This window comes from Homo sapiens, chromosome 4, assembly GCF_000001405.40.
Source record: "Homo sapiens chromosome 4, GRCh38.p14 Primary Assembly".
NCBI lineage: Eukaryota > Metazoa > Chordata > Mammalia > Primates > Hominidae > Homo > Homo sapiens.
In genome coordinates, this window is record NC_000004.12 from 22,728,516 (window position 1) to 22,745,587 (window position 17,072).

General features: G+C 38.2%; 1 long non-coding RNA gene and 1 pseudogene across 5 annotated transcripts in view; one reads left to right on the plus strand and one right to left on the minus strand.

Annotated features, from left to right (window-relative positions):
* The window catches only part of GBA3 (glucosylceramidase beta 3 (gene/pseudogene)), a 126,633-nt pseudogene that overhangs the window by 35,579 nt on the left and 73,982 nt on the right, over window positions 1-17,072 (plus strand). For all 3 annotated transcript variants that reach the window (NR_102355.2, NR_102356.2, NR_102357.2), the window contains exon 2: window positions 7,466-7,693. The product of NR_102355.2 is annotated as a glucosylceramidase beta 3 (gene/pseudogene), transcript variant 1, non-coding (transcript). The remainder of the gene's footprint in view (window positions 1-7,465; window positions 7,694-17,072) is intronic.
* LOC105374521 (uncharacterized) lies at window positions 4,789-16,347 on the minus strand. Of its 2 annotated transcripts, XR_007058430.1 has the most exons (4): window positions 15,489-15,780; window positions 6,150-6,287; window positions 5,099-5,177; window positions 4,789-4,970 (listed from the first exon to the last, which is right to left on the minus strand). It is a non-coding gene; the product is annotated as an uncharacterized LOC105374521 (long non-coding RNA). The 2 variants fall into 2 exon arrangements; XR_007058431.1 differs by lacking the exon at window positions 6,150-6,287 and having other exon boundaries at window positions 15,489-16,347.

The following is a 17,072-nucleotide window of genomic DNA, read 5'->3' on the forward strand; positions in this document are numbered from 1 at the left end:
TTTGTCTGCTTGAAAAGTATGTATTCTTCAATTATAGTGTTTGTTATTTTGCAATGTTATGTATATCAATTAGATCAAATCTGTTAATGTCTGACTCTTTTCAGTGGCTGAGAAAGGGGTTAGTTAAATCCTCCCATTTTGGAGGTGGATTTGACAACTTTTTTTCAGTTATGTCAATTTTTGCTTCACATATTTTGAAGCCATATTCTCAGGTGCATGTATATTTAAAATAGTTTTATCATTATGTAGTGACCCATGTTCTCTCTAGTGCTGCTTTTTAAGTCTTTTTTAATGCTGTTTTATTTGGTGGAGGGGCAGAGTATCATATTTTGACTTTTGATTTTCTTATATCTCCATGTTTTCAAAGTGTGAGTATAGTAAATAGCATATCATTGGATTTTTAAAATTTAACAAACAATGCATGTTCTCACTCCTAAGTGGGAGCTGAACAATGAGAACACATGGACACAGAGCGAGGAACAGCACACACCAGGGCCTGTTGGGGGGTGGGGGTGAGGGGAGGGAACTTAGAGTACAGGTCAATAGGTGCAGCAAACCACCATGGCACACGTATACCCATGTAACAAACCTGCACATTCTTGTACGTGTATCCCTTTTTTTTTTTTAGAAGAAATAAAGGAAAACTAAAATAAAAAAATTAAATATGGTACTGAAGCAAATAAACCACTAATAGCTGAAAAAAAAATTTAGTCTGACAATGTTTGTTTTTTCACCGAGTTTACTTCATTGACTTAGATTGTTAGAATGGATCAGTTTTATTGTGTCCTACCATCTTACTTTATGCTTTTTATTTTGCTAACTATGTATTTTTCATTTTTTTATTTTCTTGCTCTTTTTTTTTATGTATTTACTTTTCCGCAGCTGTCATGATCAGTTAACTTCTCATTGTGAAAGATGAGGATTTATCTCTTTGTTAGTTTTCTTTCCTTCTATCTTCCTATCTCCACTACTACATGAAAGATTCCAACACCATAATCCTCCCCAAATAATCAGATTTTAATTGTATTTAGATCAGTGGTCAGGGTTTACCTCATTGTAACCACTGAAACTTATTTACACCTGAACCACATAGTATACTATCATTATTTTTATTTTCCAGAACAACATTTTCACACAAAGTTAATACTTGTTTTCTATTTGTTCATTTTGTTTTCTGTGTGTTTATTGCTAAATAAATCTAATACTTTTTATTTCTATACATTTTCTCTCATTCTAACATACTAGATAGCCCTACTCATTAGTGATGTAAGGAATCTTTCATGTACTTATCACTACTAATCATTAGGGAAATACAAATCAAAACAACAATGAGACATTGCTTCACACATAATATGATGGCTACTATTAAGAAAAAAAAAAGCAACAGAAAATTTCAAGTGTCAGCTAGGTCGTGGAAAAATAGGGCATCTTGTGCCCTGTTGGTGGGAATGTAAAATGGTGCAGGTGCTATGGAAAACAGTATGGTGGGTCTTCAAAAAATTAAAAAGAGAATTACCGTGTGACTTAGCCATTCCTCTTCTGGGTATATGCCCAGATGGTCTGAAAGTAGAGTCTTGAAGAGATACTTGCATATTATGTACATAGTAGCATTATTCAGAATAAACTGGAAATAACCCAGTGTCTATTGAGAAATGGTGGATCAACAAAATGTGGTATGTACGTGTGATGAGGTTTCACCAAGCCTTAAAAAGGAAGAAAATTCTGACTCACGCTACAGCATGAATGAAGCTTGAGGACATTATGCTGTGCAAAATAAATCAGTTACAAAAAGACAAATACTGTGTAATTTCACTTTTCTGAGGTACCTAGAGTAGTCAAAACCAGAAAGTAGAATGGTGGTTACTAGGGGCTTGGAGGAGGAAGGAATGTTGAGTAATTGTTTAATTTTTGCAATGTTTTAGTTTTGAATATTTAAAAAACTCTGGAGAAATGATAGTGTTGATGGTTGCTAAACAATATGAATATATTTCATGTCACAGAACTATACTCTTAAAAATGGTTATGATGGTAAATTTGATGTGTATTTTACCACAATTAGAACAATATTTTTGTTAGTTCACGATACACAATAAAATGATTACAGATTGAATGAGGAAGCTTGGGTGGATTCAGACAAAAAAGATTGGCAAAATGTTGAAGACTGCTGCAGATGTGTGACAAGTACATGGGTTTCATGCTATTCTACTTTTATGACTGTTGAAAGTCCCATGATAATTTATTTTTTTAAATAAAACTTATGTAATGGTTAATTGTATGTGTCAACTTTACTGAGCTATGAGATGCCCACATAGCTAGTAAAATATTATTTCTAAGTGTGTCTGTGAGGGTGTTTCTGAAATAGATTAGCATTGGAATTGGTAGAGTGAGTGGAGAAGATTACTCTCATCAGTGTGGGTGGGCATCATCTAATCAGTTGGTTTGAATAGAACAAAAGGCAAGGAAGGGAAAATTTGCTCTGAGCTGGACATTTATTTCTTGCCCTCATACACTGGCACTCCTGATTCTCGGACTTTCAGACTTAGATTCAGTTATACCACCAGCTTAACAGCTTTCCTCGTTCTCCAGAATGCAGATAGAAGACTGTGGGACTTCTTGGTTTCCAAAATTGAGTGAGCCAATTACTATAATAAAACTATATATCTCTACCTTATTGGTTTTCTGGAGAACCCAGACTAATACAACATACTAGATATTCTATTTGTATCATCTTCTTGAGGAAATAGCTCTCACAGCCTGTCGCCTGCTCAAACAGACTGGGTACTCCCTGTGTCTACTGCATAGCTATCATCCTGGAAGTTTCCCTTTGCCTTTATACTCCTGCATGAGTTTGCCAGGACTGCCAAAACAAAATACCTTTTGTCTGTGTTCACACATTCCTGATCTCTCTCTCTCTTTTTATAAGGACACTAGACATTTTGGATTAGACCCTCACCCTTATAACCTCATTTAACAATCATTACCTCCTTCAAGACCCTATCTCCAAATCCAGTTACATTGGGGGTTAGAGCTTTAATATATAAATTTCGAGGGGCTACAATTTAGTCCATATCTAATATGGTTTGACCGTGTCCCCAGCCAAATCTCATCTTGAACTCTAGTTCCCATAATCCCCACATGTCATTGGAGGAACTTAGTGGGAGGTAATTGAAACACAGGGGCGGTTACCTCCATGCTGTTCTCATGATAATGAGTGAGTTCATCTGGCTTTACTCTGCACTTCTCCCTGATGCTGTCATGTGAAGAAAGGCATGTTGGCTTCCCCTTCTGCCATGATTGTGAATTTACTGAAGCCTCCCCAGCCCTGAGGGATTGTGAGTCAATTAAACCTCTTTCCTTTATAAATTACCCAGTCTCAGGTATATCTTTATTAGCAACATAAGAAGAGTAATACAATATCACTCAGTGATTTTGTCAATTTCTTCTCCTGAATTTCTTTTTTCCTGGATCCTAGATCTTTATCTTTCTTGATTACATCATTGTTTTAGTAAAATGTATCCTCCAGTAATATCCAAAGAGAGGAAATTTTTGAGAGCTCATGTATCTGAAAATATCTTTTTCCCATTCTCACACTTAATGGTTTGATGGCTGAATTGTGGTTACAAATATTGAGGAGTAATTTCCTCTCTCCACCCAAGTTTGAATCAAGCTAATTTTTTTGTTCTCTCTTTCTGCAGGTTGGGTTTGTCTCCAGTTTTTTTTTGCAAAGGATATGAAGTCCTTGCATACCAGCTTTTTGTGACCATCTCTATTTATACTTTTCATCTTTGATGCATCTTAGACTTTGTCTCCTTTCTCCCTTGTTCCACAAGCCATTAAAATGAAAGCTCAGATGGTCTGAACTTAGCAGACACTCCCAGTACAAAAGCCTGCATCACTACTCACATATGCATCTAAATTACCCCTCGCCCTTTGTGTTTGGGTCACCTAACCTCCTGCTAGAGTAACAATGCATTAAAAAGTGTATTTCCTATATGTAATCCAACAATCATAATTGTTTGGAGAATGGCTCTGAGTATGCAGTCCACCTGGAAACAGTAGTCTTATTCATCATAAAGGACATCATGCTTTTAGAATGTGGGCATAATTGCAACGGGAGAAAATTTCTAATGGGCAAATGAGTTATTAATATCATTCATATAGTAAGATTTACATTAAAACTACTAACAAATATTGGCCTTTATATGATTTTTATCCAATTTCAGTTATAATTGTTAGTTATCAATTTGAAGATTAGTTTTTTTTAGAAACAATGTTGTTTAGTTCTGCTTTGTCTAGCCTAGTACATGTGGAGAATAAGCGACTCCACCTCAGTACATGTTCCTGCTAAGTGACATTGACCTGTTAAAATTGTCAAAACTTGTTTGAGTTATGTTACTTGTACTGCTTTCCAAAATGTATAGATTATGTTTTGCACTTCTTAGTCTTGATAAATGAAGTAGTTTGGTCATCAGCTGACTTTTTCTTCATCACTCTGCGTAATTATTACTAAGAGCAACATGGTCCAATGGCAGAATCTTAGACTTCTAAGATCTGAATACAAATCTTAGCACTGTTACTTCCTAATGGTGTGATCTTATTCAAGTTAGTTGTAAGTGATGTGGTGAAGCCCGCTTGTGCTGGCTCATGAGAGCCTATTGAGTTTTTGTGTGAGCTGATTCTTTAACACAGACTTTATTAAAAATTACTTATATAAGCTTATAGGTAAATTATATCAAAAACAAAGTTAGTAAATACTTAAAATCATTACTTAACTAATTACCAAATTTCACTGTTTTCTATGGCCTTGAGGTAATTTAGATCTCTTGTATTTGAATAGGAGAAACACTGTAATATGGTGTGCTGCTACGGCTCTTCTTTTCCCAGCTCTGCCTTCACGGATATCATGGTTGCAGAAATTGGCTGATGCTAGAAGTCATTATTTGATTTATTGTTTTGCTAGTTGTCTAGACCTTAGAAAGTGATAGGAAACATGTTAATAATATGGATTCAACTTAAAAGTGTGTCATGTCTGTGGCTGTGGTGTTGTGAGTAGCACCAAAAATTGAGGAGACAGTTACCAGTGTTTGAAAACTGTTACCTGATTCAACAAAGAAGTAGCTCGTGTCAGTGGTAAAAAGTGAAGTTCTGGTACATCTTTTGTCTTCTTTTCCTTCTACCTGTGAATATAAGGAAAAATATTAACCAAAAGTCATATGATAACTACATGCATTTGTCAAATTACAACTGTAGGTTGGCTACTGATATGGTTTGGCTCTATGGTGCCCCCGCGCCCTGCCCCAAATCTCATCTTGAATTGTAATCCCCGTGTGTTGAGGGAAGGTCCTGTAATCCCCACACATCAAGGGAGGGAGGTGATTGGATCATGGGGGTGGTTTCCCCCATTGTTCTCATGATAGTGAATGAGTTCTCATGAAATCTGATGGGTTTGTAAGTGTTTGAAAGAAAGCGCTCCTCCTTCACTACTTCTCTCTTTTTTGCCACCTTGTGAAGAAAGTACCTGCTTCCTCTTCCCCCTGATTGTAAATTTCCCGAGGCCTCCCCAGCCATGCAGAACTGTGAGTCAATTAAACCTCCTTTGTTCATAAATTACCCAGTCTCAGATAGTATCTTTATAGCAGTGTGAGAACAGACTAATATAGCTACCAATATGACTTTGCCAAAAATCTAAAAGAGCATCCTATATGAGAATCAGTTGGTTATATGGAGTTCACAGAAAAGGGCATTGCATAGTTTATTATTTGTAAATTGTGTATTATGCATACTTTATATCAGCAAAATTGATAATAAACATATATACATATAGGTCTATACTTATTTTTTAACATATAGCCAGTTAAATATATACCAATACACCATTGCTTAAGCTGAGATTAAGCTTTTTCATGTATTAAATCAATCATTCAAAACTATGAGCATCATACTTCAAAAATTTTAGTTTTGTGTTTGTTCCTATTTCATTCTATGAATACCACTCTTCTTTTATCCCCATTCCTCTAAACCCCATATGTAGACATAACTTGAGAGTCACTGGATTGTGTAAAACTATTTGCTTCTATAATTACATGGCTCCAAAGTAAAATACTTTCGAATATTCATAGCTTTTTTTGAATAGATATTTAGTATTCTACCTTGATATCAATGACCACTTTTGCTTTTGTCAGAGCTCCTTTTAGCAGCCTCTTCTGTATCCTCATGGCGCCGTCCATGACTTATCACTCCTGCTGTCCTGAGGTTGGAACTGGAGACTATACCTAATCCTTTTAGATCTGTGCACAAAATATGAGTATGTAGATGCTCAATGAGGTAATTGTTTTCATCTATTTTACTCCAGCTGTGACCTCTTTTCTTACATAGTAATTATAAGATATTATATATTAGGCTTATAGAAAGGGATTGCCAAAAATGTAATAAACAGCCCCTCATATACCTTCTACCTTGTTTAATGAGTGAAACATAAGAGATGCATTTGAAGGCCCTGTAGACCCCTCCATGGTTCCACTTCCTTCTCTTTTCCTCAAAGGTAATCACTCACCTGAATTGATCATTCCCAGGCATGCGATACTTCTACCTCACATGTATATGCTCAGAATATACGTGGATTGTTACATATATTTTTAAATATATAAAATATGATAAACATACTGGATATGTTCTTTTATTAAATTAATGGACTTTATATTTTAGATCAGTTGTAGGCTTACAGGAAAATTGAGCAGAAAGAGACCTCCTCTGACTCCAGCCCACACTTGGATAAATGCCCTTCCCTCGTTTCTGAAAAAGAAAGGGCCTTTACATTGGCTGTTACGTAAATTCCCCAAAACATGAGACACAACATAGTTCACTCTGGTATCCCCTGGGCTTGTTATCCTGCTTGACACATAATATTTGTTGAGTCAAGGGCAGTATGAATGAATGAGTTTCAGATAGCAATATCGTATAAGCAGTGGTGGAAACCAGGGCTCCCTCCCCTCCAGAGATGGACTGGACCAGCACAGCCTCCATTGTCAGAGAATAGGAAAATAGGGTTTAAATGTCAAGGGCCACACATAAAGTCCCAAGATCCTGTCACGCATAAGGACAAGGCATGTTAGTCATGGCCAGGGGGAATGTTTGCAAGGAGGAGATGTTTTCAACTCAGATATTCATAAGCCAGGGCCTGCCTCTGTTTACCAGCTGGGAGGTCTTCAGATAATGAAACATGAAAGCCTGCTATGCAGCGGCGCTATGCAATAATTTTTCATTTGCCACCAGTCAGCTTCAGGGATCAAGGACAGCTAAACACATAATCCGCTCATGCATGTTATTTTAAAGGCTTATATTTTAAAGGTTATAAATATGGTACATTGAGTTAATGAGGTATGTTCTTTTGGTGACAAATATTTACATTCCACATATGCCTCTTGATGTCAAGAGTGTAACTGTTTCATTTTCTTCTTTTTCTCAGGAGGCTGGGATGCAGATGGAAAAGGCCCTTGTGTCTGGGACACATTTACTCATCAGGGAGGAGAGAGAGTTTTCAAGAACCAGACTGGCGATGTAGCTTGTGGCAGCTACACTCTGTGGGAGGAAGATTTGAAATGTATCAAACAGCTTGGATTGACTCATTACCGCTTCTCTCTTTCCTGGTCACGTCTGTTACCTGATGGGACGACAGGTTTCATCAACCAGAAAGGCAAGTGTTTCTTAAAAATAGAAGGTTGCAGCTTTAATTCAAGGTTATTGCTGCAGTCTGGCATAATTAATCCAGTATGCTATTCTGCAATGTAGCTTTCAAATTGCAAGTTTTTAGAGTGATTATGGGATAAATTTTTTGAAATGGGTTTGCATTAGTTTTCACAGTAATATTTTGGTTTTCTTTGACTGTTGAGATCTTTTCTGGGGGTGATGAGTGGGAGGGAGGTTAGAATAAGTGTTTTATTATGTAACGTGAGTGTTAATCTGAAGGTAAATTTAAAAAATTTGTATTAAACTATTTTCAGTTGTGTAACCCTGTGATGAGTTATGAAAAGTCCTGAAGAACTTGAGATGATTCTAAGCACTTCAATTAGGGCTGAATTAGTGGAGCTAATTAACTAGCATGGGGTTAACACCAAGGCCCCTGGAGTTCACTTACTGAAGATTAAGTCCAGCTACATCACTTACTATCTGTATAAACATCTCTTGGGCATCTCTCAGTGCCTCAGTTTCCCCATGAACAGAAAAGAATGCTGTAATAGTGACTAATTCAGAGAGTTGTTGGAAGGTTAAATGAAATAATCTTTGTAAAGTGCTTAACACGGTTGCTAACATTTCAAAAGCATTTAGTAAGTGTTAGCTATTCTTCTTATTATGCCTTGTAAGTAAAAGGACCAGTCATTGCTCTATTGAATGCCTGTTATTTATGAGGCATTTTCACCCATTTTCTTTAATTCTCACCAACAGTAGGGAAGGCATAGTGATCATATTTTACAGAGGTGTATGTCCAAATCCACATATTTGGCAAATGGCCGCTCAGTTATTTAAACCTAAGGTCTAGCTAGCTCTTTCTACAAAACATGGTTGGAAAACTATGACCTGAAGGTCAAATGTGGCCTGTCATCTATTTTTGTAAATAAAGTTTGATTGAAACATAGACATGCCTGTTCATTATGCATCATCTATGGTTACTTTTCCACTTTAATGGCAGAATTGAGTAGCTAGGGCAGAGACCATATGGCCTGCAAAGCCTCAAATATTTGCTATCTGGTCCTTTACAGGAAAAGTTTGCCAACCCTTGCACTACGACATATGGTTTCTTAATGAAGACACTTTATTACTACTTTGTCTTAGAAAAGATTTTACACCATCTATGGTGCTGGGACTAGGTGAAGCAATGAGGTGTCTAGGGCATAAAATTTAAGGAGAGCCTCTTAAATTTAAGGACAGGCCTCACTTGTATGACCTAAGAGAACACCTGCTTGCCTCGCCATGCTTCCCATCCCAAGAACCTTCATTAATACAAAGGCATTATTCGTGAGTAACTTATGTGATTCCCTATATAGAACAACCCTTGATGACAATTCCTAGATGGGCTTGTGCACTTGAAAAGCTCATTTTATTTAAGTTGGGATAATCTTCACATCATGAAATAGAATTGCAACTCATGAACTCACGTGTAGTATCAGCCCTAGAGTAGCTTCTCCAAAATAGGGACAGTTTAGGATCAGCAGGCTCATTCCCTGATTCTAAAGACATTGGCCCATGACCAGTTGCTGCTGATTAGATGTATACTTTCTTGCCATCTCTGACTAGTTTTATTTTTTATGTTGAATGGAAGGTAATTTGTTGTTCAGTTTAAAAGTGAACTTATTATCTTCAATCTTCCTAATCCAACATCTGTATTCTCCTTTCTTTCTGGCACCACCTTACTCCAAAGTCTAAAAAACAAAAATAACCTTTGAATCCTTTCTTGTCTTTTCTTCCTCCATCTAATGGGTTGCTGAATATAGTCCATTCTAATTATGACTTTTTAACTTATCTTCTAATCCCTCTTTTTGCCCCTGCCCTAGTTTGGGTATTTATCATTCTTACAAGGACTTTTTGATATATCCTTGATGAATCTATCTGTTTTCACCTTCTGTCTGTCCTTTGCTTTCTATAAGATGCCATCATAGCAATTTTCCTAAAGGTTGACCCAAATCGTATTGGTTTGGATCATCTACTGCTAAAAATGAAGCAAGATGCGTGGTGGCTCATGCCTGTAATCTCAGAACTTTGGAAGGCTGAGGCAGGTGGATCACCTGAGTTCGGGAGTTCGAGACCAGCCTGACCAACATGGAGAAACCCCGTCTCTACTAAAATACAAAATTAGCTGGGTGTGGTGGTGTATGCCTGTAATCCCAGCTACTTGGGAGGCTGAGGCAGGAGAATCGCTTGAACCCAGAAGGCAGAGGTTGCCATGAGCCAAGATCGCATCATTGCACTCCAGCCTGGGCAACAAGAGCGAAATTTGGTCTCAGATAATAATAATAATAATAATAGTAGTAATAATTTAGTCACTCAAAGCCTCAATATACAGTCCATACTCCTTCATATATCATTCCAGGCTCTATTTGACTTAGACTTAATCACCTCCAAAAACTTTGCAGTTTTGGAGGTGATTACCCCACGTGTATGATCACGCAATATCCTAAACACACATTGGTACAGGTCTATAATCTTTTATCTGTAAGTATAAGTAACCCACTACTTATTAAACATACCATACAGTTTTCCACCTTGTAGGAATTTGCTTAAGCTTTTTATTCTGCCTAGAATGAGCTTTCATTAACCCCAACTATACCTGCTGAAGGCCTGTCCTGCTGTTCAGGGCTAGCACAATTGCCCTCTTCTTTACAGTATTTCTCTATTCTAAGCCAGAAAAAAAATCTCTCTTTTTTTTTTTTTATTCTCATGGCACTTTGCGAAGCTCTTAAGATATTTCTCACATTCTTCATTGTTAACTGTTACTATATCCCATGTTAGACTATGGGTGCCTTAAGTTTAATTCAATTCAACCAAAGTGTGCTGAATGTTTATTGTGTCAGGGACTGTGCTAAGTACTCATGACATTCATATTAGAGAACCCCTGGAATTGTTTACAGTGTAATGGGTAGATAATTCTGCCCTGTTACCCTTGTAATCTAGTCCAGCACCATCCATGGAAGGGATTCAGTAAAAATTATTGAATTCAATTGAATTAGGTCAATAACAATCATAAAAATAACTCTAAGGGTAGTAATGCTTGCCTTTCATTGAGCATATGATATACAGAGCTCACCATGCAAACATTGCACATACTTTTGTTGATTTAATGTTCATAACAGTCCTATGAATGAGGGGCATCTCTAAACAGAAGCAATAATGCTAACATGGGAAATAAGGTTAGGCATAAATTTGCCAAGATGACAAATTTAGTTAGGTTCAACCTAGGCTTGTCTGACATAAAAAATCTTGCATCTAGTCTAGAGCTCAGTAAGTTTGGCCAAACCACTTGAATTCTCTGTGCTACAGTTTCCCTGTTGGTTAAATGAAGTGGAGGCCTTATGGTACTAAAACTTCTTGTACTCATTCTAGGGGTTTGGAGTTTTTACTGAGCTTCCATTTGGATGGTAAACAACAACAACAACAGCAGAAACCAAAAACCCACCAACTTGTAGTATTGGTCCACAGTGCCGTATCTGAAGTTCTAAAATCAAAAGGCTCTTATTACTAAATCTTTCTAAAATTAAATTGGCAGCAAAAGCTAACTGAATTGTTGTGAATATTTATTCTGTTTGGTGATAATATTTATTTATTTTACTACAGACATATTAGGAGATACTCACTCAGATTCACTGAGAGTGTTAATATATGGTATATGCTCTGTGTTTCCTTTCTAAAACATTCTGAACTCATATGCCCCTAAGATTTTCAGACACAAGATTATGTACCTGTACCAATATGTCAACATATTCAGCTTTGAAAACCAACTTGAGATACTCAGAAGTTTGTAGAGACACACTGTAGATCAGCAATCCAAGAGCAAGGAAACCGAAACCACTGGAGAGTGGGGGTGGTGGTACTGAAGTCATGGAAACCACCTGAATATTGTGGAGAAATTGCTCATGCAGATCTCACGTGGGGATCACGTGCCTGTAGCACTGAGATTTTTGTGTTTGGCCCTAGCTTTGGTAAAACCATGGCTGATTAATATTACAGACTTTGCTTTGAACAAGAGGGCACTGGAGGTGCATCCAGGAGGTGGAATTTCAATAAGCAGTTGTTCATTCTTGTGCAGTGATCTGTTGAAGCAATTGGAATGGTTTTAACTTGGAAAGGCCATCTCTTTTTTCCCATTTAAATATTTTCTCAAAAAGCATGCGAAGAATTAGAAAATCCCTGTCACTGTTCTTCCCAAGGAACGACCTTTTTGTGTTTGACTATCCATTTCAAAGCTTGATTATAGGACATTTGGAAACTTGTAAAATTCTGTGTCCCCAAACTAGAAGAATGTTTTTATGAAGTGGAATTGTTACAGACTGTCTCTTTCAAATGTCAGTTTTTCAAAGTTTAACAAGAAAAGATTGAGTTGGCAACTGAAATCACATATTCCTGTATTTCTCAACTGTTCAAGTGCATGTTCATATCTGCCACAAATGTAAATTTCAGACGATTAGTGGGAAGCCCAAGTATTGGAAATAAAAAAAGGGAATATTTATGCAGAATTTAGTGCTCACTTGAAGATTTAAAATATGAGTTCTCTTAGCAGGGATGGTTTAAATAAATTAACTAAACAAGCATTAATCTTGTATTCTATGTTGGGCACTATAATAGACTGAAAATGGCCCTCTGAAGGTGTTCATGTTCTGATTCTTAGGAATTGTGAGTGTATTAGCTTGCATGGTAAAACAAACTTTACAGATATGATTAAGGGAAGGATTTTGAGAGGAGGAGATTGTCCTGGACTATCTGTGTGGTCCAAGTATAATTACATGGGTCCTTAAAAGAGAAAGGTAGAAAGATCAGAGTCAGAGAGAAGAGGTAAAAGAGATAATGATTAAAGCAGAGGTCAAAGAGAAGAGGTGAGGATGAAGATGGGAGAAGAAGCCATGAGGGAAGGAATGCAGGTCGCCTCTGCCACCTGGAAAAGGTAGAAAGATGAATTCCACCTGAGAGCCTCCAGAAGGAATATAACTTTGCTGACATCTTGATTAGCCCAATAAGCACTGTTTTGGACCTCTGGCCCCCAGAACTGTAACATAATGCATTTGTCTTGGTCCTGCCACTAAGTTTGTGGTAATTTGTTTTAGCAGCAATAGGAAACTAATACAGGCAGTGTGGCAAGAGAACACAGGAGCAGTTAAAGAAATTGATGGGAGGTGGGGGATCACGAGTTCAGGAGATCAAGACCCTCCTGGCCAATATGGTGAAACCCCGTCTCTACTAAAAATACAAAAATTAGCTGGGTGTGGTGGCACGTGCCTGTAATCCCAGCTACTCGGGAGGCTGAGGCAGGAGAATCGCTTGAACCAGGGAGTCAGAAGTTGCAGTGAGTTGAGATCACACTCCAGCCTGGGTGACAGAGCGAGATTCTGTCAAAAAAAAAAAAAAAAAAGAAAAGAAAGAAAAGAAACCGATGGTGTGAATGGTGTGAATCTAGAAAGGTGTGAACCAAAGAAAGTTGTAAACTTGATGCATGGTAGGCATGAGATCAAAGGAATTCTATGTTACTTTTTTTTGTTGAAGGAGGATTCTAGGTCAATTTTTTTTTTAATTTGAGACATCATCTTTGCAAGTTCGAGCCACGCCCTCTTCTAGGGGAATTCCCCTATATCTTTGTTTTATATAATCCTGCTTGACCCCAGGTCACAGCTGACAGGACAAAGGAAAGACATTTTTCCCTGGACTTATAATGAGCTGTGACCTCATGGAAAAATAGGAGCTTGCTCCATTGTTTTCCTCCCTCAAGGATGTCTGGAATTGAGGTACTGAGAGGCTGAGTTGGTTGGTGGTTGGCACTGGGGCTCAGAAGTAGCTTTGGCAGGTGGGACGGCCATTTTGAGACCACAACAGATTGAGTGTGTAAAGAAAACTGGTTCTTTCTTAAGTATATATTTTTCTGTTTTGTCTCTGCTGCTTGAATCAGAAGGGAAAGCTGTTTCTGAAAGACGAAATGGAGCAGATGTGTTGAGAGAAGCTGGGATGGAAGAGATCAGTTTTCCCTGAGAAGCAAAGATTTTCTCAGCTCCCAACTTCAATTCTTTTGACTTCCACTTGCCATTATTTTCTGTCATTGAGTCCCTGATCTATTTCTGTCATTTAAAATAATGTCCACTGCATCTATATCTACTACCCAACTGCCCCCAGTGCCACCTTTGTATATGAGTTCATCTGGGTTGGTTTTTGTTATATCCAAAAGACCTCTACCTCAAATATGTTTCATATTTTCTAAGATCAAATAGGCAGAAATCAGCTTAATTAGAGAAGATAATATTGACTATGAAAGAAAGCTATAGAAGTTTTAATCCTTAAAATAATCAATTCTGTCCTAAATACCCAGAAGCAGAATGGGATCCAAATGACCTCTCAAAGTTTCAAAATCCCTAGATTGGTAACAGGTGATCATTTAAAAAATACACATTTATTCAGAAGGAGAATTTGTTTATCAGTGACTTACACTATTCTGAAAAACAAAGTTAAATAACCCTTTGGCAGTTTTATTCTCATTCAATACTCACATGCTCCTAAGGTGGCAGTATTAACATTCCCATTTTACAGATGAGGATACTGAGGTGTAGAGAGACCAGTGATTTATCCAAGATCCTTTGACTGAGTTTTCTGGGTCTGGGGCTCTCCTCTTAAAAATCCCACTCTGGCCGGGTGCGGTGGCTCAAGCCTGTAATTCCAGCACTTTGGGAGGCTGAGGTGGGTGGATCATGAGGTCAGGAGATCAAGACCATCCTGGCTAACACAATGAAACCCTGTCTTTACTAAAACTACAAAAAATTAGCCGGGCGTGGTGGCGGGCGCCTGTAGTCCCAGCTATTCGGGAGGCTGAGTCAGGAGAATGGCGTGAACCTGGGAGGAAGAGCTTGCAGTGAGCCAAGATCATGCCACTGCACTCCAGCCTGGGCGACAGAGGGAGACTCCATCTCAAAAAAAAAAAAAAAAAAAAAAATTCCCGCTCCACTTCATGGAAAAGTTTCATTACAATATTGAATAAACTGTATGATCGAGAAGTGAAGTGCTTAATTCTGGGATAGTGAATGTTAATTATGCAATGCTCTGTTGCTCTGCTGTGCTGATGAGTGAGAAGAAAATTTTCTTAAAATTTACTTATCTTCCTTTCAACAGACAGTTATCATGTGGTTTGAATTACATTGATTGGCCATCATTAATGACTTCTCCACAAAGGGGGAAAAAGGAATTTGATATTGTGATCAGGTCTGAAGTAGGTGACCATGAACGCTGGTAAAATAGAGTCACATGTTTCCGGCTCAGGAACATTAGTTAACATGAGAAGTGGGATGTCATAGTGAGAACAGTTCAGTCTTTGTAGTGAGACAGACTGGGATTAAATGTGGGCCATGCCATTTGTCAACATTGAGACTCTCTGAATCTGTTTTCTCATTTTTAAATGGGAATAAAAACACCTATCTCTAGAGCTTAGCGCTTGGATTTGGCAAAATGCATAGTACGAGTTCAATAAATGAAAGCTAATATTATTTTCATGTTCAAAGTCAATGGAAAGAGTTGGCTATGAAAACCCTCACACATACCAATACCCAGATTATTTTATCATTTTATCTTTAGATATCTCATTCACAAATATAGAAATGTGGGTTTATGGGGGCCCAGGGGTGGGATGGTGAAATACTCTCTTTGAGAGAAAAAAGGATAGTTTATAAAATTTCATGAGTATGTTAGTTTTATTGCTACTGTAACAAATTATCACATATTAGCTGCTTAAAACAACAAAAATTTGTTACCTTAGAGTTCTGCAGGTCAGAAGTCTGACATGGGTGTCTGTGAGGCTGAAATCAAGATACCTGCACGTCTGTGTCTCTTTCTGAGGGATCTTTGGAAGAGTCTGTCTCTTGGTGCATTCAGGTTGTTGGCAGAATTCAGTTCCTTGTGATTGTAGAACTGAGGTCTTTATTATCTTGCTCTGGCTATCAGCTAAGGACTGTTCTCAGCTTTGAGAAGCCATCTGCATTCCTTGGCTCATGGTGGGTCTCCTTCCTCCATTTTCTTTCTTTTTTTTTTCTTTTGAGATGGAGTCTCACTCTGTTGCCCGGGCTGGAGTGCAGTGGTGCGATCTCGGCTCACTGCAAGCTCCGCTTCCCGGGTTCACGCCATTCCCCTGCCTCAGACTCCTGAGCAGCTGGGACTATAGGCGCGCACCACTACACCCAGCTAATTTTTGTATTTTTTTAGAGATGGGGTTTCACCATGTTGATCAGGCTTGTCTCAAACTCCTGACCTCGTGATCCGCACAACTTTGCCTCCCAAAGTGCTGGGATTACAAGCATGAGCCACCGCGCCTGGCCCTCTTCCTCCATTTTTAAAGCCAGCAGTAGTGGGTTGAGTTTCTCTCAAGCTGCCACTTCTCCTCCTCTTCTTCCGTTGTTGCATCTCTCTGACCCACTCTTCTGTCTTACTCTTCCACTTCTAAAAACTCATGTAGTTATATTGGATCCACCTGGACACTCTAGGGAACTCTTCCCAATTCAAGGTCCATACCTTAATTGCATCTGCCAAGTCCCTTTTGCCATGGAAGGTAACATGTTCACCCGTTTCACGGATTAGAGAACGGACATCTCTGGGGAGAGGATGAGTTATTCTGCTACCAAGTGAGAAATAGCACAGAAGTGTGTCTTCCAAATATGGAGTTGTTATGCATGATTCACAGTACATTCCAGTTTGCAAAATAAATGAGATGGTGTCAAAAATACCCACTTACCCAGACAGAGAGAAAACACATGATTGTGCATAATTTGGCTTCTGCTTACCTTGCTCATCTCTCACCATTCTATTCCTCTTTTGACCATTCTATTCCTCCTTATACTGAACTTTTTATTTCCAGAAAGTGAGTGAATATACAAACACTGGCCAGGTCATATCTGATAATAAAACTCAGACTGACAAAGGAAACCCAGGAAGCCAAACCTTAGCCTCTGCAGCAATCAGCCCAGAGTAGTCACAGTGTGGTCAACTGATACCTTCTCTATTTTCTAACCCCCTGCTCTCTGCTTCCAACTCAGGAGCAACCTGAGAAAACCAAATGTGCTCCCCAAACTAATCAGAAAGGATGCCCTGCTTCTAGTTAGCTCTCCAATAGCTTCCCAAGGCCAACAAACTTTAATCAGGGCACACCCAAGGGTTCTCTTTTTTCCACTCTAAAGCTTTTCCTCTGTCCTGACTGTATTTGAATACCTGCCAAATGCAAGTATTGGTGGCTGACTCTCTTGCTATAGCAAACTCTGAGTAAATAGTCTGTTTTTCTCATTTGAGTGGTCTTTGTTTTAACATTTCCTTTGTGTATTGTTTTTGTTTCCTCTTTTTCTCTTCCT